At 35.9% G+C, this 23720-nt stretch overlaps 1 protein-coding gene across 30 annotated transcripts in view; it reads left to right on the top strand.

The window, feature by feature from the left end:
* Positions 1-23720, top strand: part of COP1 (COP1 E3 ubiquitin ligase) — a 262456-nt gene that overhangs the window by 35946 nt on the left and 202790 nt on the right. For 9 of the 30 annotated variants that reach the window (XM_047427793.1, XM_047427798.1, NM_001286644.2 and 6 more), the window contains one exon: positions 22267-22335. In XM_047427793.1, coding sequence (XP_047283749.1) covers positions 22267-22335 — 69 coding nt within the window. Of the gene's footprint in view, positions 1-7449; positions 7527-8352; positions 8473-22266; positions 22336-23720 lie in introns of those variants that run through there. The other 21 variants (XM_005245448.4, XM_047427778.1, NM_022457.7 and 18 more) reach the window with 5 other exon arrangements.

Genomic DNA, 23720 nt, shown 5'->3' with positions numbered 1-23720 from the left:
AGTTTGAAGCTAACAGACGTTGGTTCAAGAGATTTAAGGAAAACAGCCATCTCCATAACATAGAAGTACAAGGTGAAGCAGCAAGTGCTGATGTAGAAGCTGTAGCAAATTATCCAGAAGATCTAGGTAAAAATCATTGTTGAAGGTGGCTATAGTAAATGACAGATTTTCAGTGTAGATATAACAGCCTACTTTTTTTTTTTTTTTTTTTTTTTTGAGATGGAGTCTCGCTCTGTTGCCCAGGCTGGAGTGCAGTGGTGTGATCTCGGCTCCCTGCAAGCTCCACCTGCTGGGATCATGCCATTCTCCTGCCTCAGCCTCCTGAGTAGCTGGGATTACAGGCGCCCACCACCAAGCCCGGCTAATTTTTTGTATTTTTAGTAGAGATGGGGTTTCACTGTGTTAGCCAGGATGGTCTTGATCTCCTGACCTCGTGATCCACCAGTCTCGGCCTCCCAAAGTGCTGGGATTACAGGCGTGAGCTATCACGCCTTGCCTAACAGACTTCTTTTGGAAGAAGATGCCATCTAGGACTTTAATTGCTGGAGAGGGAAGTCAGTGCCTGCCTTCAAAGCTTCCAAGGACAGGCTGACTCTCTTGATAGGGGTTGATGCAGCTGGTGACTTTAAGTGCCACTGCTCATTTACCATTTTGAAAATCCTAGAGCCCTTAAGAATTATGCTAAATCTACCGTGTCTGTGCTCTGCAAATAGAACAACAAAGCCTGAAGACAGCATATCTCTTTTCAGCGTGATTTACTGAATATCGTAAGACCACTGTTGAGACCTACTGCTTAGAAAAAAAGATTCCTTTCAAAATACTACTGCTCATTGACAATGCACCTGGTCACCCAAGAGCTCTGATACAGATGTACAAAGGAGAGTAAGGTTGTTTTCATACTGCTAACACAATATCCATTCTGTAGCCCATAAATCAAGGAGTAATTTTGACTTTCAGGTCTTATTATTGAAGAAACACATTTCATAATAACTGCCATAGTGATAATGAGTCCTCTGAGATCTGGGCAAAGTAAATGGAAAACCTTTTGGAAAGGATTCACCATTCTAGATGCCATTAAGAACACTCATGTTTCATGGGAGGAGGTCAAAATATCAACATTAAAAGGAGTTTGGTGGAAGTTGATTCCAGCCGTCATGGATGACTTTGAAGGGTTCAAGACTTCAGTAGAGGGAGTAACTGCATATGTGGAGGAAGTAGCCAGAGAGCTAGAATTAGAAATGGAGCCTGAAGATGTGACTGAATTTTCCTGTACTATCCTGATAAAACTTAAACAGATGAGGAATTGTTTCTTATGGATGAACAAAGAAAGTGGTTTCTTGAGATGAAATCTACTCCTAGTGAAGATGCTGTGAACATTGTTGAAATGACATCAAAGAATTTAGAATATTACATAAACTTAGTTGATAAAGCAGCAAGAGGGCTTCAGAGGTTGACTAACTTTGAAAGAAATTCTACTGTGAGAAAGATGCTATCATGTAACATTGCAGGCTATAGAGAAATTTTTTGTGAAAGGAAGAATCAGTTGATGCAGCAGTCTTCGTCATTGTGTTCTTTTAAGAAATTGCCACAGCCAGCCTAGACTTCAGTGACTACCACCCTGATCAGTCAGCAGCCGTCAACATGGAGGCAAGACTCTCTACCAGCAAAAAGATTATGACTTGCCAAAGGCTCAGATGGTCATTAGCATTTTTTAGCAATAAAGTATTTTTTAATAAACGTATATATTAATACTTTTTTTAAAGACATAATACTTAAACTACGGTATAGCGTAAACAGAACTTTTATGTATATTGGGAAACCAAAATTCATGTGACTTGCTTTATTGTGGGGCCTAGAACCGAACCTGCGATTTCTCCAAGGTACGCTTTGTATATAGAAATTACACACTTAAAAGTTTTTTTTGAACTTAATTTCCTCTTAAGCATTAAGAAGTCTTAAATATGTTTCCTATGTTGTTATTTAATTAGTAGTAGTATACAATTGATCAAACAAATAAATATTACACATAATTTTATGAAGTCTTAGACATAAAATTCTATAGTGAATGTACCGTTTACCAAGGTGTGTGGTATCCTTCTCCCCAAGTAGTTTAAGTGGCATTGATGAATATTACTATGACGAGGATTCCATTTCCTTTGTGTAATTTTTATTTTTAAATGTGTGAGTCTTGAGAAACCTTGTTTATATTAATTAAGTTGATGGGACTTGAAGGCGTTTTTACAGCAACATGACTCATTTCTTTGCCTTCCTTTTGAATTTTGTGCTAAAGAAGCACTTACTGATTTATTGTCACACAAAAAATTTTAGATGCCCTATTAACAAGTCAGGCATTTTTTTCAATTTTGATGAAAAGAAAGAGTTGGAAACCAAATAACTCAAGATGGATTTGGTTTCTTGGTCATTAGAGTCATATACATTTTCATTGAGATAGATAATATGATTTTCTTTCTTTCCTGCTGTAAGCACTACACTATAGCCCCTCTTCCTCCTGACTTCCCTTCCCTGCATCTTTCTCTACCTTCCACAGCATTTTCTCTCATTCTCTTCTGTTTCTCCCTTACTTCCCTCCAGTGTGCATACTCTGTCTGCTCCTCTCTGCCTCCCTTGGTTTTGAATGCTCTCTTTCCCTCTCCTGATCCTGAAAGGCTGATTCAGGTAAGGGCTGGAAGTCCGACCCTCCATTACCACCCCTCCCCATTACCACTCCCTATATACTCTGCAGGTGTACTCCACTCCTGCCAAAGCTTGCTTTCTAAGCTCCCTTGCTTGCCTGCTTGCTTGCTTGCTTTTTTCCCCTCCCTCCCTCCCTCCCTCCCTTCCTTCTTCCCTCCCTTCCTGCCTTCCTCCCTTCCTCCCTCCCTCGCTTCCTTCTTCCCTTTCTTCCTTCCTTCCTTTCCCCCGTACTCCCCCCACCCACCCAGCTGTCTTTTTCTCTACCTTTCTCTCTATATATAAAATTTGTAGGTCAGGGGTGGTGGCTCACGCCTGTAATCCCAGCACTTTGAGAGTCTGACACGGGCGGATCACGAGGTCAGGAGTTCTAGACCAGCCTGGCCAACATGGTGAAATCCTGTCACTACTAAAGATACAAAAAATTAGCCAAGTGTGGTGGTGCGCACCGGTAATCCCAGCTACTCGGGAGGCTGAGGCAGGAGAATTGCTTGAACCCAGGAGGCGGAGGTTGCGGTGAGCCGAGATCGCACCATTGCACTCCAGCCTGGGCGACAGGGCGAGACTCTGTTTCAAAAAAAAAAAAATCGTAAATTGAATTTTCTTACCTCTCTAATGAATAATCCTCTTAACCACTAATAAAAAATACAGTATGCTTGCAACGTGTAAAATCCCTGTTTAAAAAAAAAATGGCTGATGCATATAAAAGTCCTTACTACTGTCAGTCACTGTTTTCAATCCTGTATGTACATGAAGTCAATCCTTATGGCAGGCTTGTGAGATGGGTACTGATTTTATCATCCTCATTCCTTAGGTGAGGAAACTAAGGCATAGACAGGTTGAGTAACTTGTGTCAAGTTATACAGCCAAAGTGGTGAAATTAGAATTTGGTCTTAGGCAATTTGGCTCAAGCATCTGTGCTTTTACTGTACTGTTCTGCCTCTAAAAAGACCGTTGCTTGAATGGAGTCTTTAGCATTAAAATGCATTTTTTTTTGTACTAAGAAATGTTTGTTCTTAGTACTGTGGATGTTGTAAGGCTCTGTAGAATTATAATTAACAAATGTATAACATCCTTAGGTTTAGGTATCAATTCTAAGAATTGGTGATGGTTTCAAATTAAGGCTTATCTTAATTGGAAATGTGAAAGTGTTAGCTAAACGTGGCATGTCACACTTAAAATCCAGGAGCATGTCATCAAGATTTCATTCATTCATTCATTCATTCATTCATTCATTCATTCAGCAAATACCAGGCGCCTACTATGCGTCAGGGACCACGATGGTGGACAAGACAGACACTGATCATTAAATGCTTTAATCTATAGTATAAATAAGATGCTAGCTGATGTCTTCTGCTAATAGGTAAGCATTGCTTTTAAAATAAGTTTTCAAAGTTATGGAATGGAATTCACCATTTTGCTATTCTTGTTTGTAAGCTGTGACATAGTTTTGAAAGGGTTTTCCCACTAAGTGTGTGACTCTAATGACTTTCATATATACATATATAGACATTTGAATGTTGAGTCCAGTGTATATACCTTGCATTTTAAGAGATTTTCTTCTGTTAAATTTTTGAAGTACAAAAATAATAAAATACCCCTTGATGAGGAAACACTTAAGCTGAGTGTACTAAATAAAATAACTTCTTTTATTTTCCATAGGTAACCATTGTTTGTTGTAGGATATAGTTTTTTAAAAATTTTTATTTTTTTGAGACAGCGTCTCTCTCTGTCATGCAGGCTGGAGTACAGTGGCGTGACCATGGTTCACTGCAGCCTCGAACTCCTGAGCTCAGGCAGTCCTACCACCTAGGCCTCCTGAGTAGCGGGGAATTCAGGCATGTACCACCACACCTGGGAAAGTTTTGTATTTTTTTGTGGAGACGGGGTTTTGCTATGTTACCCAAGCTGGTCTCCAGCTCCTGGCTCAAGCTGTTTGCCTGCCTCAGCCTCCCTAAATAATGGGATTATAGGCATGAGCCACTGTGCCCAGCCTAGGATATCGTTTTTCAAGAAGAAAAAAATAACCATTTTTTCAAGTAACTCCATGAAAAATCTGATACAGTAGTAAAAAACTTCGTTTGGTAAATGTAGAATTTAAATGTCTTTATATGACATGGCAAGACAGTTAATACATTGTTTGTTTACACTTTATTTTTGCCATCATTTGCTGTAACTTTATTTTGTAATTTAATTTTGTGGCCTTTACAGGCTTGATCTACCTTGGCTGGGCATGGTGTCTCATGCCTGTAATCCAGCACTTGGGAGGCCAAGGTAGACGGATCACTCGAGGCCAAGAGTTCAAGATCAGCCTGGGCAACATGGTGAAACCCTGTCTCTATAAAAGATTCAAAAATTTGCTGGGTGGAGTGGTGTGCACCTGTAGTCCTAGCTACTGGGAAGGCTGAGATGGGAGGATGGCTTGAGCCTGGGAGGCGGAGGTTGCAGGGAGCCAAGATCACGCCACTGCACTCCATCCTGCGTGACAGAGTCACACCCTGTCTCAATAAATAAATAAATAAAATAAATAAATACAGGCTTGATCTTTAGTTAATAGAGTTGCTCTTGAAAAAAATGTTTGATCTTACAGTATTGTTATTGAGAATCAAATATAATGGTATATAAGATTTTGTGGTAAAATTCAATGCGGCATATTCATGTAAAGTATTTAACAGTCACTATTTTTCTTCAAATGGTTAAATTCATAACTGTGACACTGACCTCTTACTGACTTACTCCTCTTTATTCCCACTGAATTATTTCATGCTCTCTCCTTTATCTGGATTATAATCACTTTTCTTGTGTAAGGTATCTGCAGTTCAGGCCCTTCACAATCTGGCTCTGATCTGCCTACATTTCCAGGCTTAGTTCTTAATCCCTGTGAATCATTCACAAGATCACTCTGACCCTTGTTTTAGCTATATTGATTTTACTTACTTACTTGTTTATTTATTTATTTATTTTGAGATGGAGTCTAGCTCTATCTCCTAGGCTGCAGTGCAGTGACACGATCTTGGCTCACTACCTCCTGGGTTCAAGTGATTCTCCTTCCTAAGCCTCCCGAGTAGCTGAGACTACAGGCACGTGCCACCATGTCAGGCTAATTTTTCTATTTTTAGTAGAGGCAGGGTTTTGCCATGTTGGCCAGGCTGGTCTCGAACTCCTGACCTCAGGTGATCCACCCACCTTGGCCTCCCAAAGTGCTGGGATGACTATATTGATTTTAAATCGTTGTATCTCCTACACACACACACACACACACACACACACACACACACACACACACACGACACACATCTCTCTCTCTCTCTCACCTGAATTTTTCTTCACTTTTATTTTTGCTTAGTGAGCCCCTGTGTGCCTATTATGGCCCATTTCTAATGTTGCCTTCTATATGAAGTGTGCTTGTTAACATTTTGATTGATCTCTGCGTGTATACTTTGTAAATCTATTTTAATGATAGTACTGATTATCACATTATATTACAAGTACTGTATCATATGCATCTGTCTTGCTAGTCTGAGTTGCTTGAGACCTTGGATTGTGTCTTTGAAGCTTGGATCCTTATGAGCTTGGTATCTGTTTGTTGTTTTCAAAAATATTTATACTTGCATTGTGATATACTGGGAAGTATCAGACAGTTGGGTCTATATTCTCAGCATTGTCTCATTGTATATGTCACCATGCATAAGTTACTTATGCTCTCTGTGCTAATACTTCTTCATCTCTAATTGGGGAAAATAATCTGTAAGATATTGTCTATAAAGTGCCTTCCTAGCCTAGTGGTAGTTTCCCTTTTTAAAAAAAAAATCAGTTTTTTGTGTCAGTTTATATTTGTTGGTTGTAGAAAAATAGAAAGATCCAATTTAAAGTGGTTAAACATTATGGAAAATGTATCGATTCACGGGAAAAGAATTTCTAGAACTAGTTATCAGTGGTTCAGTGGTATTGTCAGGTTCTTTCTCTTGTTCTTTTCTTCCATTGCCAGCATATACCTTGGTCTTTTGGCTGGCTATTCTTGAGGTTGCAAGATGGCTCTAAGCAGTTCCAGATATCATCCCCTTATGAAGGCATGGTTTTTTTCTCCTATCCTTTCCTTTCTGAAAGATAGCACATCTCTCTTTGGTCAAAATTGGGTTACGTACTTAACCCCACATCAACCACTGGCAAGGGCATGAATGACTAGATTGCCTTAGGTTAGTCAAAGTAATACATGGGGTTGGGGTGGAATCTAACCTCTCTGAAAGTTATATGGCAGTCTGACACTTGGAAAAAAGTCATGTTATTATCAAGAAAAAGAGTAGGATGGTTTTTGGATAGTTAGCTAAAAGTGTCTTCCATGGTATTTTTAGAAGAATTACAAAGAAAAAGAACAAATGCAAGTCTTTAGTACTTAACTCATAGTAGATACTCAGTTACTCATGCCTTGTTACCATATGGGGCATGTGATGGTCTCACATGGTGAATGAGGATTTCTCTCTCAGCAAGTGCCAATAGCGTCATCATTGAGAAACATGTAAGGGAAAATACATATTCTGAAGAATTCTCCTATAGTAATAGTAGTTGTAGTAGTAGCAGCTGCAGCAAAACTGTTTTCTAACTTGAAATAAAATAAAAAGCTAACACTTTCTGTTTAGCATGTTTTGAATTTGGAGGCTATGTATAGGTAAAATAGAATCTATCTAAACCGAAGAATTACATGATACATTTAACAAAAATACAAATTATGTGTGCTTTTTATTTTGTTTCTGTTTTCAGTGAATGAACTCATTCTTAAACAGAAGCAAAGATTTGAGGAAAAGAGGTTCAAATTGGACCACTCAGTGAGTAGCACCGTATGTTTCAACTCTTATTACTATTTTTAATAAATTTCATTTTGTTGTTTTTATTGGTTTAATATTAGTTAGATGTTAAAGTTTAGTATATTATTGATTTTTCTTAAAAGGCGATTGTTTAGGATTGTTCTAGTCAAATAACTAACTTTCTTAACTGCATTGTCTGTAGTACTTTACTAGAGTGATCCTATTTTGAAAGGTCTGGTAGGATTATATTGAAACATTTGTCTTTGAATACTTGACATTTGAAGGATTATTTTGGGTGGTGAAACAATGGTTAGATATTTTCAAAAAACTGTTGAGGTTGGGCTCACACCTATAATCCCAACACTTTGGGAGGCCAAGGTGGGAGGATCACTCAAGCCCAAGAATTTGAGACTAGCTTGGGCAACATAGCGAGACTTTGTCTATATTCAAACAAAAACAAAAACAAAACAAACCTTTGAAAGATTCTCAATTTTAAAGGCTTAGTCCCAAATTATGGAGGCAAATGAGCTTAATACCTTACTACATGCAAAATTGAAAATATGGCTAGACAAATAATTAAATTCAGTCATTTTGAAGGTAAATTACAGCTTTAGAATAGTCTCAAAGGCACCTTTTATATTTGTTATCTAAATTCATTTAAGGGAGAAGAAATAGTGTTTAAGTTATAACTGTAAGACAGTAGGGAGCCACTAGCTAGGAAGGGGTAGTTTGGAACATTATAATATATTTTCGATATCTATGTAATGAGCATATTAGGAAGTAGCAAGTAAACATTTGTTTTAGTCTCTAAAACAGTCTTCATAGGAAGTTGTTGTGTTTCTTCTTTCTTCATTTTTAGAATGGCCACAGGTGGCAGATATTTCAAGATTGGTTGGGAACTGACCAAGATAACCTTGATTTGGCCAATGTCAATCTTATGTTGGAGTTACTAGTGCAGAAGAAGAAACAACTGGAAGCAGTAAGTGGTAGCTAAACTTAAAAAAAATTTTAAATGATGAACTTTATTGCAATAAAAAAGACGTAGAAAGTTTAAAAATAATAGGATAGCTTCACTAATCCATTCATTTTTACTCAGCTAGAAACAGCTACAAAGTGTCACTTCTGCTAGATTCCCCCTTTTTGTAACTTAAAGAACAATTTCAATACATTATAACTTATTTGCAATGACCAGTTTTTATTAACAAAAGCTGAGTGTTCAAAATCTTGAGAAAGTAAAGTTTCGTTTTCATAGGAAATAGTTTTGTTGGTTATCTGTCTTCTAATGAGTATCTTTCTTACCATATTGTCCCCTCTTCATATGTGAGATTTGGAGGAGAAATAGAGATTATTTTTATCTACATACAGTTCTTTCAGCAGGTGTCCATTGGTAGCAGTAGTAGTCTATGGCATAACTAAGAGCATTTAAAGAGATCTGTACTAAATATATCTTATTTAATGTAATGTAAAATTCCATTTATTTTACGTAACTGTTAAAGACGTAAAATGTGAAATTGCAAGTATTGGGAATTGAGTGTGATATATTATAAGCAACACACACCTTAGCATAAGCAAATACTACCCTGAGGTTAAACATAAAGGGAGTATTTATTGAGACAGTAAGTGAGTGAGTAACACATACACACAAAAAAGAATAGTTGAACCACCAAACTTTGAGAAGATTAGAACCATGGCTTCTCTGGAAGACTACAAGTACATGAGATAGGGATTTGAATGTTGTTGAGAGTCTTTCTTTTGTGCCCCTTATGCCTGTTTGATTGGGACAGCTCTGATTTTCTTTTCTTGTAGACTTTTTTATCACATGGTGGATAATAATGTCATTTGCACTCTTGGTTTATATGTATGTTTTTTGATAAAAGAAAAAAAGGAGCTTTTGTTTCCAACTGCAGTTTAAAGATTTCTGTGGCTAGATTATGATTAACTTAGCTTGGATCTGGATCCCACTGACTGTGGTGGGGATCTTCTAGTAGGAGAAAGGTGTGTCAGGTTGAGCCAGCCAAAATAAGTTGTCTCCCATGTTATATCTGTTTGGGAGGTCGGGTAAATGGGAATTTCTCTTACGGTTTTAACCATAGTTTACTATTAGCATCTACTGTTTGCCAGGGGTTGTGTTAAGGTCTGTGGACAAGCTAGAGTTCTGCTGTATGTGTGTGTTTGTGAACTAAATCAGTAAAGCAGGTATTTTCACATGGTGATAAGTAATATAAAAGACTTTCTTTTTTTTTTAAGGGACAAAGTCTCCCTCTGTCACCCACCCAGTCTGGAGTGCAGTGGTACAGTCATAGCTCACTGCATCCTCTACCCCCTGGGCTCAAGTGATTCTCCTGCCTCAGCCTCTCACTCACACCACTAATTTTTTTAGTTTTTAAATCACCCAACTAGTTTATTTTTATTTTTATTTTTTGTAGATACAGGTCTCACTATATTGGCCTACAGTAGTCTCAAACTCTTGGCTTCAAGCAATCCTCCCACCTCAGCCTCCCAGGGTGCTGGGATTATAGGGTGAGCCACTGCTTCCGGCCCTAAAATGACTTTTTATGAGAGATTGAACATACGCAGTTACCTTGCTCCCTTTTGAAATGATGAAAATGACAGTAAATTAGGGATTTTAAAGAGGCAAAAATAAATAAAATGAGATAAGATATATTTTCAGGAATTTTTTCTAAGCTATGAAACAGATGGACAAAAGGTAACAGATAAGTAGATCTGAGGAAACTGAATGCTACACCAGCAATAGGGAGAAAGCTAAGAACTGACCCTATTTATATTGTGGAGCAGAGGCCCTGGGATTGGGACCATCAGGTATCTGACAGAGTAAAGGCTGAAAACAATGAGTGGTTGAGAATCTGTTTAAGAAGCAGTTGGAATCCCTGATTCCTTCTTATATAACTAAGCTAATGATTCTTCCTTTTCTACTTTAGGAGAAAACTATAATTTTTAACCCCTCCACCCCCAACGGAGGTGGTAAGAAAGAAGCTCTCTGGACTGCTTCATAACAGGCACACTTAAAGATGTATGTGGGTGTTCCTGTTTCTCCACAGCCTCGTCAGCATCTGTTGTTTCTTGGCTTTTTAATAATTGCCATTCAGACTGATGTGAGATGGTATCTCATTGTGGTTTTGATTTGCATTTATCTAATGATCAGTGATGTTGAGTTTTTTTTCATACGTTTTTTGGCCACATAAATGTCTTCTTTTGAGAAGTGTCTGTTCATATCCTTTGCCCACTTTTCGATGGGGTTGTTTATTTTTTTTCCTGTAAATTTGTTCAAAGTTCCTTGTAGATTCTGGATATTAGATCTTTGTCAGATGGGTACATTGCAAAAATTTTTCCCCATTCTGTAGGTTGCCTGTTCACTGTGATGATAGTTTCTTTTGCTGTGTAGAAGCTCTTTAGTTTAATTAGATCCCATATGCCAATTTTGGCTTTTGTTGCCATTGCTTTTGATGTTTTAGTCATGAAGTCTTTGCCCATTCCTATGTCCTGAATGATATTGCCTAGGTAACAAACCTACACATTCTGCACTCGTGTCCCAGAACTTAAAGTAAAAAAAAAAAAAAAAAAAAAAAAAAAAGATGTGTGTGGGCTACCATACCAAAAGCAGATAATTACATAGTGAAAGTGAGAACTGGTAACCTTCTTCCTACCTTCTCATATGCCAGCATTAGTCTTTGTTTCCTTTTTGGCTTCGAATTGAAGAAACACAGTTGTCTTATTAGATTACAGATTCTTTCCTATTATTTTCTGAAGAGGGAGCCACCTCAGAAGCAAAGTTCCTGTCATAGATTTTTTTACATTATTGCTTTCTGTTTTACTTTTCATTATTATTTAACCTGAATCTTTCCAGCATACAGAAAAGTACAGAAAATAATATGGGGCTCTGAAATACTCCTTCCTAGTTTTAATAAATGTGAAGATTTTGGCGTATGTCTTAGATCTGACTTAAGAAGTAATTATTTTCATACTTAAACCCCTCTCATCTCATTCCCTTCTCCCAGTGTGACCACCATATGAAGTTGGCAAGAATCCTTCTCAAGCATGTGTATGCGTTTCTTATGTATGTTAGTATCTACAACCATATAAAGTAGTTTGCATAAATTAGAGGTTTATATAAAGGGTTTCATGCTGTAGTTATCCTTTTGAAATATACCTATTTGTTTACTTTTTGAGGTTCATATTGATAAGTGTAGATTTGGTTTATTTATTTTAAATTCTTATAGTAATCTGTTTCAGAAATATATCTATTATTCTATTGATGGGCATTTAGGTTCTTCTCAATTCTTAGTTGTGTCAGCACTACATTTAGTATACCTTTCTCCTTGTGCTCGCATTAGGGTATGTGTGCACATTTTAATCTTATTAAATATTTGATATTGACAGATTGCTCTTCTGTGGATTTGTGCCATATAAGCACTTGGTATTTTCTGTTTTTTAGTTACTGCCAGTCTGATAAGTATCAAATGCTGTTTGTGTGTGTGTATGTGTGTTTTAAAAATACATTTCTGTAATAACCAGTACAGCTGAGAATTTCTTCATTTGGCCACCCTTGTTTTCTATTTGATGAATTACCTATTCATATTTTGTGTCCATTTTCCTGATGGATCATTTGTCTTTTCTCTTACTGATTTGTGTATGTGTGTGTGCTTGTATTTTGTATATTACTACTTTGCCAAGTATATATTTTGGTAATTGAATTCTAGTTGAATTCCATTATAGTTGGAGAACATAATTTACATGATTTTAGGTGATTCCATTTTAGATGCTTTGTTGGTTCATCACTTATAATTTTTTGTCTTTTTAGTGGTTGCTTTAGAGTTTTTAATACAATTACTACCACATTCTACATTAAAGTAATATTATACTACTTCATCTGTATTACAAGAACCTTAGGCCAGGCACAGTGGCTTACGCCTGTAACCCTAGCACTTTGGGAGGCCGAGGTGGGTGGATTGCCTGAGCTCAGGAGTTCGAGACCAGCCTGGGCAACATGGTAAAACCCTGTCTCTACTAAAAATACAAAAAATTAGCTGGGTATGGCGGTGTGCGCCTATAGTCCCAGCTACTTGGGAGGCAGAGGTAGGAGGATTGCCTGAACCCAGGAGGCAGAGGTTGCAGTGAGCCGAGATTGTGCCACTGCACTCCAGCCTGGGAGACAGAGCAAGACTCCATCTCCACAAAAAAAAAAAAAAAAAAAAAAAAGAACCTTAAAAACAGTATACTTTCATTTTCTCTCTCCTGGCCATTGTAGTATTTTATGTCATATATTTTACTTCTAAATGTGTTATATATTCCACAATACGTTGTTATTAATTGTGGTTAAATTATGGAGATTTCTAGCAAGTCTTATATTACCCATTTATTTACCATTTCTGGTGTCCTTTATTCTTTTGTCTAGATTGGTTTCTATCTGTTATTTTCCTTTAGCCTCAAGGACATCATTTACCATTTCTTTAGTGCAGGACGGCGAGAGGCGAATTATTTCTTTTATATGTCTGACAAAATCTTTATTTTACTTTTGTGTTTGAAAGGTACTCCATATAAGTATAAAATTCCAGATTGGCTTTTAAAGAAATGTTGCTCCACTGTCTCCTAGCATTGTTTCAGATGAAAAGTCTGCTGTCATTCTTATCTTTTGTCTTCTTAATGAAATATGTTTCTCCCAGTTTAAGATACTCTTTTTATGGGTGTAAGTGTTTTGATTATGATGTGCCTTGCAGTAGAGGTTTTTTTTTTCCCCCTTTGTGTTTTTTGTTATTGGGTTCTTTGAATTTTTTAGATCTGTAGATTTATAGTTTGCTTCAGATTTAGAAAATTTTCAGCCATTATTTCTTCAAATATTTTTATGTCCCCTCTTCCACTTTGGGAATTCCAGTTACATATCTCTTAGGCTAGTTGAAGTTGTTCTTTAGGTCATTGATGAATAGTTTTGTTCATTTTATTTGATCTTATTCATCTTTCTAGTGCATTTTGGATAGTTTCTATTGCTGTCTTCAATTTTGCTCCATATAGATTGACTTTTTCCCTTATTGTAGGATATATTTTTCTGCTTCTTTGCATGCTTGTTTCTTAATTAGATGCCAGAAATTATAAATTTCACCTTGTTCAGTGCTGAATATTTTTGTAATCCTTTATATATTCCTGAACTTTGTCCTGACATGTAGTTAAGTTACTTGGAAACAGTTTGAATCTCTTGAAGCTTGTTTTTAAGGTATGATAGGGAGGAGCAGAGCAGTTTTTTGTCTCTGCTAGTTTTGCCTCACTACTGAGACAACCTTTTTGAGTGCCTGATGCATGTATATTTCTTGGTTTTTCTACTCTGGCTGCTGGGAACATGTAATATTTCTGGCCCTTTGTCTGGAAAGCATTGTTTCATATAGTTGGACAGGTGTTTTGTTGTTTAAGGCAGGAATGTAAATCTAGTCCCTTTTACTCCATTTTGGCCAGAAGGGGAAGCTCAATTTGCATGTGTTTAGTCCTTTGAAATTGATTGTGATTTCATTGTAGCTCAGCATAATCTGTTTTGTAAATATTCCACTTGCATTTGAAAACAGTGTTTTTATTCATTGTAGTTCTTTATAAATATGATTATGTAGTGTGGGTTAATATTAATATTATTGTTGTTGTTATTATTTTTTTGAGATGGAGTCTCTCTTTGTCACTCAGGCTGGAGTGCAGTGGCGTGATCTCTGCTGCAACCTCTGCCTCCCAGGTTCAAGAGATTCTCCTGCCTCAGCCTCCCAAGTAGCTGGGATTACTGGCACACACCACCCCCCTCGGCTAATTTTTATATTTTTGGTAGAGATGGCGTCTCACCATGTTGACCAGGCTGGTCTCGAACTCCTGGCCTTGGGTGATCTGCCTGCCTTGGCCTCCAAAAGTGCTGAAATTACTGGTGTGAGCCACCAGACCCAGCCAGTTAATATTATTAAATTTGTTTTTCCTCCTTGCTGTCAGTTGCTGACGAGTGTGTTACTGTTATTATTATAATTGTCTACTTTTGTTTTCTTTTTTGGTAATTTTTGCTTCATGTATTTTGAAACCCTGTTATTAGGTGCAGCTCATACATGTTTAGAATTTTTATATCTTCTGGATGAATCATCTCCTTTATTATTATTATGAAATGGATATGTTTATTGTTGGAAATATTTATTGTTCTGAAGTCTGCTTTGTCTGATACTGATAGAGCCACAGCATCTTACTTATAGTTAATGTTTCCATGGTATAGTCTTCTTCATGCTTGTACTTTAGTTCTGTCATTGTCCTTATAAAGTGTGTGTCCTTAACAGTAGGTAGTATTTTTTTCTGTTCTTTTTAAAAACACAGTCTAATAAGTGCAGTGAATTGAAGTGCTTAAGTCCATTTAAATTTTATTTAATATAATTATTGATATAGTTCGGTTTGAGTCTACACCATGGTATTTGTTTTCCATTTCTCCCTCCTGTTCTTTATCACTTCTTCCTCCTTTCTTGCCTCCTTTAGACATCATTGGGTTTTCAGTATCTCATTTTATCTTCTCTATTTTTCATGTACTTCTTTTTATTGTAATTTTAGTGTTTTCTCTAAATACCACAAAAGGCCTTTTCTCCCACACAGTTTATAGTATGCTACTTCAAGGACAATATGTTTGCAGGCAATCTTGAATATATGGTATACCACATAACTCAGTTTACTAAACTTCCCCTTTTTTTGGTTCAAACCATGTTATAAGTCTCACCAAACTTTTTTTTTCTTTTTTAAAACATTGTTATTTTGGCTTTTGAAGATAGGATACCAAAATAAATAAATAAAAAAGAACAAAAACCCACCAGACCCTTTTTTTATTTACCCAAATATTTACCTTTTCAGATGCTCTTCATTTTTTCTCGCATCCATCTGGCTGATTTCCCTTTTACTTGTATAACTTTTTTACTATTTCTTGTAAAGCAGATTGTTTTGCTCTATATAGAAGCTTTGGGTTTTCTTTTTAAAACACTTTAAAGATATTTTCACTATTCTTTTGTTTCTGATGAAATCAGTAGTCATTTTTACCATCCTTCTCCTAAAGCTAGTATATCGTTTTTCTCTCTAACTGCTTTTAAGATTTTCTTTCTGACATTGGTTTTCAGCAATTTGACTATGTTATTCCTACATTTTATTATTTTTATATTTATTCTTCTTGGGTTTCATGCAACAAGAGGATCTGTTCTTTATTTTATTTTGTTTTTTGGCAGCGAACAAATTCAATGCCTAGGATTTAATTTTTGAACATAGTCAGCCATTACTTGTTCAGCCCTTTGCTCTCCTTCCTTTCCCTGTAGGTTTCTAGTCATATGTTGTTATAATGTTTCATATTATCTTACAGACTTCTGATGCTCTGTTCTTATTTTCCTTTTTTTCCTGTGAATTTAAATAATTTGTATTGAACTGTGTTTGAGTTTGTTATTCCTTTCCTCTGCTATGTCTGCTTTGCTCTTAATTTCATCGATTTTTAAATTTATATTTATTTACTTATAAAATTATTTATTTATTTTAGTTTTTAGGAGCAAGGATGAGAGACTGACCCCTTTGGTTTTATTCAGGAATTCAGCTTAACTGGGGCTTCATCGCTGCTTGAGTTAGTTTCAGTCATTGGCTTTAAAGAATAGTACGCATTTTTTGATTTATCCCTTTTTTTGTTACTGTGGAAGTAACCTTTTACATTTTAATCTGAAGAGGATTAAACACTAATTTTTTTTAACTGAAATGATTTGTACTGTGAAAGTGTTGTCTGTGATGCCAGTGCTTCCAAATTTAAGTCACTCATTTTATGAACTGTTGTCACTTTTTGTAAATATTCGTCTTATGCTTTTAAGCATGTGTGTTCTGAAATTGTTTCAAGGATTTGTTCTTTATGTCTAATAATCTTTCTATTTAAAATTTTCTATTAAAATTATTTAAAAATAAAAACCCAGCTAATGCAGAAGAAAGTATATTAATTTACTAATGTGATTATGGATTTTTCAATTTTCTTTCCAATACCGTCATCGTCTAGTTTCATATCCTTTCAGTCTTTTTGTATTTAACTTTTAAGTTCAGGAGTACATGTGCAGGTTTGTTATATATAGGTAAACTTGTGTCATGGGGGTTCATTGTACAGATTATTTTGTCACCCAGCTATTAAGCCTAGTATCCATTAGTTATTTTTCGTGATCCTTTTCCTCTTCCCACCCTCTACCCTCCGATAGGCCCCAGTGTGTATTGTTCCCCTCTATGTGTCCATGTGTCCTCATCGTTTAGTTCTCACTTGTAAGTGAGAACATGTGGTATTTGGTTTTCGTCCTGTGTTAGTTTGCTAAGGATAATGGTTTCTGGCTTCATTTATGTTCCTGCAGAGGACGTGATCTCCTTTTTTATGGCTGCATAGCATTCTATCGTGTATGTACACCACATTTTCTTTATCTAATCTACCATTAATGGGCATTTAGGTTGATTCCATGTCTTTGCTATTGTAAATAGTGCTGCAGTGAACATACATGTGCATATGTCTTTATAATGCAAGGATTTGTATTCCTTTGGGTATCCTGGTCACATACACCCTTTCAAGACTGAGCCAGGAAGAAATTGAATCCCTGAACAGACCAATAAAGAGCTCCAAAATTAAATCAGTAATAAGTAGCCCTGCCAGATATACAAAGAAAAGCTGGTACCATTCCTACTGAAACTATTCCAAAAAATTGAGGAAGAGGCACTCCTCCCTAAGTATTCTGTGAGGCCAGCATCATCTTGATACCAAAACCTGGCAGAGACACAGCAAAAAAAGGAAACTTAAGACCAGTGTTACTGATTCACATCCATGCAAAAATCCTCAACAAAATACTGGCAAATTGAATCCAGCAGTACACCAAAAAGCTTATCCAGCATGATAAAGTAGGCTTTATCTTTGGGATGCAAGACTGGTTCAACATATGCAAATCAATAAATGTGATTTATCACACGAATGGAACTACAAAAGATAGAAACAACATGATTATCTCAGTAGATGCAGAAAAGACTTTCAACAAAATTCAGCCCTCCTTCATATTAAAAACTCTCAATAAACTAGGTATTGAAGGAACATACCGCAAAATAATAAGGGCCATCTGTGACAAACCCACAGCCAACATCATTAAATGGGCAAAGGCTGGAAGCATTGCCCTTGAAAACCAACACAAGACAAGGATGCCCTCTTTCACTACTCCTGTTTATTCAACATGGTGATGGAAGTCTTGGCTGGAGCAGTCAAGCATAGAAAGAAAGAAAGGGGATCCAAATAGGAAGAGAGTAAGTCAAACTATCTGTTTGCAGATGACATGGTTCTATACCTAGAAAATCCCATAGTCTCAGCCGACAAGCTTCTTAAGCTGACAAACAAGTTCAGCAAAGTCTCAGAATACAAAATCAATGTACAGAAATCACTAGTATTCATTTCTGTCAGTACAAAGACTTGGGAACTACCTGACTTATAAAAGGATTTGTTATCTAGTCTTTAGAGTCATCCACTTTTCCAAACTGTAGTATTTTTTATTGCCTTATTTTGTTATTCCAGAGAATTTTATACCCCAGGGACATGTATAAGGTAAACTTCTGGGTGGGTAAAAGATAAGTGACAAGCCTACCTGCTTTGCTGCCATCCCTTCCTTACAACCTTCTGTACAAAGTGAGAATAGAAAATTTGATGAAAGAGGCTAGAATTGAGAACTGGAGTGATGTCCTGTGAGCAGACATGTTTTAGAAGAAGAAAAGGTAGATGGTGGAGAATTAGGGAATCAACTTCCTAAAACCCTCTGTGTCCACATACGCTTTGGAAGATCTTCATGCATTCTCAGGTATATCTGTACCCTTATTTGAAGTCTGTTGTCTATACAAGCAGAAGTGAATATCCTTTAGAAGTTTTCTGTTGACAGTAGATTTAAGGAAAATACTGTAGTGTTCTAGAGAAAAATTATTACCTAAATAGTAATATCCTATCTAAAGTATGGGATGATGACTCCTGTTTGTGAAATGTTACCTGCACATTTTATAGGTAGGGAATCTGAACCCAAGTAGGGGAAACACACATAAAGTTATCTAGGGTTTTTTTGGTTAGAATTTTAAGCTGGGCACAGTGGCTCACGCCGTAATTACGGCACTTTGGGAGGCCAGGAAGGCAGATCACTTAGGAGTTCGAGACCAGCCTGGCCAACATGGTGAAACCCAGTTTCTACTAAAAATACAAAAATTAGCTGGACATGGTGGTGCGAATGTGTAATCCCAGCTACTTGGGAGGCCGAGGCAGAAGAATTGCTTCACCTTGGGGAGCGGAGGCTGCAGTGAGCTGAGATCGTGCTACTGTACTCCAGCCTGGGAAACAGAGTGAGGCTCTGTCTCAAGAAAAAAAAAAAATCTAAGTAATAATTACTTCTAATTTACAATGTCATAACATTATTAACAAGATTTATAGCAAATAGCAACAGTTCCTAGTTCCATTACTCCCAGTCCCTGATATCAATTTTCCAGAAGGAATCTTTTCAATTTTTAATTGTTTTTATTTACTGCACACACTCTCTATTATGTATAATTTTTTTTTTTTAGGAGAGAGAAGGTCTCGCTTTTTCACCCAGACTGGACTGCAATGGTGCGATCACTGCTCACTGCAGCCTTGAGCTTCCCAAGTAGCTGGGACCGTAGGCACATGCCACTATGCCCAGCTAGTTTTTGAATTTTTTGTAGAGATGGGGTGTCGCCATGTTGCCCAGGCTGGTCTTGAACTCCAGAGCTCACGCAATCTGCCTGCCTTGGCTTCCCGCAGTGCTAGGATTTTGCAGCCAACAATTCTATATTTCTAAATAACTTGCGTATGCCATTCTGCTTAGAAAGTCTGATGCAAAAAAAAAAAAAAAATGCCCTCAAAATGGCAGTTGTTCTACTCTTGAGACAACTGTTGTAGAGTGAACTGTACTTGGGAAGATGAACTTATGCTAACTAAACCTGTAAGGACCAAATTACTCATTTATAGTGAAATATTTAAAAATCAGTTACATTAGTTATTTACATAGTTATGACCAATGTGTTTTCTCCCAGTTGGAAAGACATCTAACTTGCCATATAACCGAAGGATACTAAAGCATGGAATTGGAATAAGAAGAGTTTAATAGGCAGTTCACATATTTAATTATATTAGGCTCTGATCAGGCAGTTGCTTCCATTCCCATAATAAGGATAATTTTTTCTTTTAGAATACAACAAAATTTAGTTGCAGAGAAGGGTAGGAAAATAAAGAAGACCAATGTTCTATAAAAACTCGAAGCATATTTCATGTCACATAGCAGATACGCTCCCTCTTGAGACGCTTAACTGAACCAGATGGGACAAGTGTAACAAAAACTTGCTGTATTGTAGAGTACTGAGAGTAGAGAGTAAAATTCTAAATATGTTTCTTTCTTTCTTTCTTTCTTTCTTTCTTTCTTTCTTTCTTTCTTTCTTTCTTTCTTTCTTTCTTTTTCTTTCTTTCCTTCCTTCTTTCTTTCTTTCCTTCTTTCTTTCTCTCCTTTCTTTCTTTCTCTCCTTCCTTCCTTCCTTCCTTTTTCTTTCTTTCTCTCTTTCTTTCTTTCTAAATACATTTCTCTTTATTCTTTTTCTTACACGCTTCCTTATCCGAAAATGGGAGAATTGGGCTAAATGATCATTACATGTTTTTTGGAAGTTTTGACGATTGTAAGAGATGTTTAGAGAATTGACTTCTTGGACTTTCATTTTTAGTGGTGGGATTACTTTCATGTTAAAAATTTGCACCTGTTCTAATAGAACATTATATGGCTAGACATTTTGGTATAATTGGTTATACTCTTTCCATTTTTTAAAGCATTCTCTTTTCTTCCACTATCTCTTTTTTATAATTTTCCTTCATATTTATATGTGAAATTGTAGTTTCATATTTGCCATTCATCTCTTTTCTTGAAATTCTTCCTTTAAAAAGATTAAACTGCAGAAGAAGGTGTCATGTGGTGAATTCCTGGTGTATGTAGTTGGACCCACTTTCCTTTTACATTGACATTTTGGGGACTTTCTCCTTCTTTCTACAAGTTAATTGCATTCTTGTCATATTTACATATTCTAGTTAATAGATTGAAATGAAGTGTTCAGATTTATAATTTTGAAGATAGTTTGTATAATTCCTTTGTAAATGAACTGTCACTTTATTAACTTGGAGTTACTTTTTGTATAAAGTTGTTACTTTTTAAATAAACATGTGGTCTTTGTCCTCTAGACAAATAATCGTAGATAGTTAGAGATAACCAGTGTAGAGAAGTCCCACAAACAATGTGGAAGGCTTGGATGCTTTGTCGTCATTGTTGAGACAGAGCCCATGTGAGTTTGTTCTGTGTGACAGATTAACTCACTTGGGAAGAATGGGTCTAAGGTCCAGTCAAAGTCAGTTTGTCATGCAAGAAAAAATTTCAATCTTCATGATTCTATGTTTTGGAAATTTATTCAGTTGTAAAACATATTAATTCAGTTATATTATTTTAATTGGACTATCCTGTTGTGATTATCAGTTCATATTTTCTCTCTCCTTATTTGCCTTGACTTGTAAATTACGTTGATCTGTTTTGCCTCTTATTTTTTAAAATCCAAAGATCTGCAAGAGGCATAGACTCTGGAAGTGGGTGTGAGGTGGTCATGCTTATTTGTAGTACGTGTTATATCTTAGTGATTCTTCAGATTTTAATTGGCTTATTCTTATCATCTGGGCACTTGTTTAACAAAAATTCCTGGAACCTTTTCTAGAGCAACAGGATCAGAATTTTAAAAATCTGACCCAGTGTCTGTTTTAACAAATGCCCCAGGTAATTCTGTTGCATAGCCAGGCAAATGAAAGTTTTATTAATCTTTTTTTCCATGTATTTTTGTTTGTTTTGGAATTGCTCCACTGGGCTTTTTTATTCTCCCTTTCAAGTATATAAGAAAAAATTAGAATGATGTTTGTTCATAAACTGTCTCTTATTGTTATTTTATTTTTAGCTTTTGATATTATTTTATATATTTTTATCAGATTAACCTGGAATTCCTGGTTCTTGTGAATTTTAACAGTAAATGATACATACTTGTGTTTTTATGTTTTGCTACTCAGAAAATGTCAAGGCTTATTATACTTTCATTTATCTGTTCTATCCTTGTCTCAATTACCAATTTGAGTTACTCCCTACCCGCAAGCTGTCCACTTGATTATATTAAATTTTTTTGTTTTCAGTTGTTTGATTTTGCCTGAAATCTTCCATAGAAATATATTCTCACATCTGTGAATAAGTAGGTAATAACTAGAAATAGTAAATTTGACTTGTGAAAGGTATAGGTTTATCTCTATTTATTACACTTACCTCTGCAAATGAACTTCTCATGGAGAAAGTGATTTTAGTGTCTATAAGCTATGTTACTTTCACTGTAAATTTTGTTTTGATGTTTTCTTAGTTGAGTTGGGGAAGAGAAGGCTAGGAGTCAGGTAATAGAATTGCCATTATCCGTGAAAAGATTTTTCAGCATGTTAGATAAGGGATGTAATTTAGAACACCTGTTTCTTAGTTTTAGTTAGTTTTATAGAAAATTGATTCTTTTAAAAATGCCAATTAGCAAATGGAATGGGAAAACTGATTAAATAGAAATAATAGACGAACTTAAATGGGTGCATAAATTTGCTTCATACTGTTTATGCTATGGTGTTAAAGAAAACTTTCAACTCAGTTATATTTTTTAAAAGAAAAATTATAATTTTCTATTGTAGGAATCACATGCAGCCCAACTACAGATTCTTATGGAATTCCTCAAGGTTGCAAGAAGAAATAAGAGAGAGGTATATTATTTTGTGTGTTTTACATAATGTTTTATTTACTATTGTTAACTGTTCCCATTTTGTAAAAGCATTTCAGGCTAAAAAATTTCTTTAAATATTTTTAAAAGCATTTGAATTTTTAGGAGGTTTCCTTAAGATTTGTTATTTTAACTTCTTTTCTCTTTACAACTTGACACTTAAAAAATCATTTTGTGGAGATGTGCTGAAAAGTTATCAGTAAGATTGACTGCAATAACTTACCTAAAAACTATAAAGAATTGAAAATAGATGTATTAAATAACAGCTTACCCTTCACCATGAGGAGAAAACTTAGGAAAATTTAGATAATAAAGCCTTAGGTAGGATATAGTTTTTTTCTTATGGTAAAAACATATGTAGGCAAAAACAAGTAAAAACATAGCTACCTATTTAGAACTTGGGAGGTCTAACTCATGGAGGATAGTTAAAAGGCAATTTTGTATCAACAGTTTTATAGCGAGCATGTTCTAATTTAACATTTATAAAATTTCTCAGTCATTTCACACTATACAAAATATGGGAAAATTAAATAGTCAAAATCCTGTGCTCTGGATAGCATGCTAAAATAACTTTGAAAACTTTTTTTTTTTTTTTAAATTTCTAACTGGCTGGAACCTGGTATGTTTATGTTAAGAATTGTCTAATTAGGATACTTTTTACTCATTTAAAAATGTGTAAATTGTCTGTTATGTGCTATGTTCTGGGCTATCTTTATTCTTTTTGACAATAAATAGATAAGAGATGTTTTACTGGATGATGAAGTGTTGAATAGCTAAATATTTTTTATGTGGTTTGTGACTAGATTTTTCTTATTCTCAACTGTTGCTAATTTAGTTGTGATTTTAATATTCCTACTAACAAACATCTGTTATAAATTTAAGATTTACTTGTGTCTCAGGTTTTTTTTTTGTGGTAGGAAAGAAGAAGATGTCCAGTCATTCATTTGTTTAAATGTCTGGTGGTGCAATATAAATGGCAATGTGCATGAAAGTTGCCTGTTACGGAGCTTGTGGTGAGCCGAGATCGCGCCACTGCACTCCAGCCTGGGCAACAGGGCGAGAATCTGTCCCAAAAAAAGAAAGTTGCCTGATGATCTTGCTAAAATGCATGTTCAGATTAAGGGAGGCTCTGTTGGAGCCTGGCAATCTGCATTTCTGGAGAGATAATGGAGAATTCCTTTCCAACATTAATTCTTCCGTGTGATCTTCATTTGGCCTTTGATGTGGTGGCCCATGGCCTCCCACAACACCATCTGTGATATTGACTTTGATTTTATAGCTTTGGCATAGTGTTTTTATATTTCCGTTATTAAACTTCTGGATGAATCATGCCGTAGAACTTTTTCGCTTGATTTTGGTTTGAATCTA

This window comes from Homo sapiens, chromosome 1 (genome assembly GCF_000001405.40).
Source record: "Homo sapiens chromosome 1, GRCh38.p14 Primary Assembly".
NCBI lineage: Eukaryota > Metazoa > Chordata > Mammalia > Primates > Hominidae > Homo > Homo sapiens.
The sequence above is the reverse complement of the archived record's forward strand: the minus strand, read 5'-3'. Positions and strand labels throughout refer to the sequence as shown.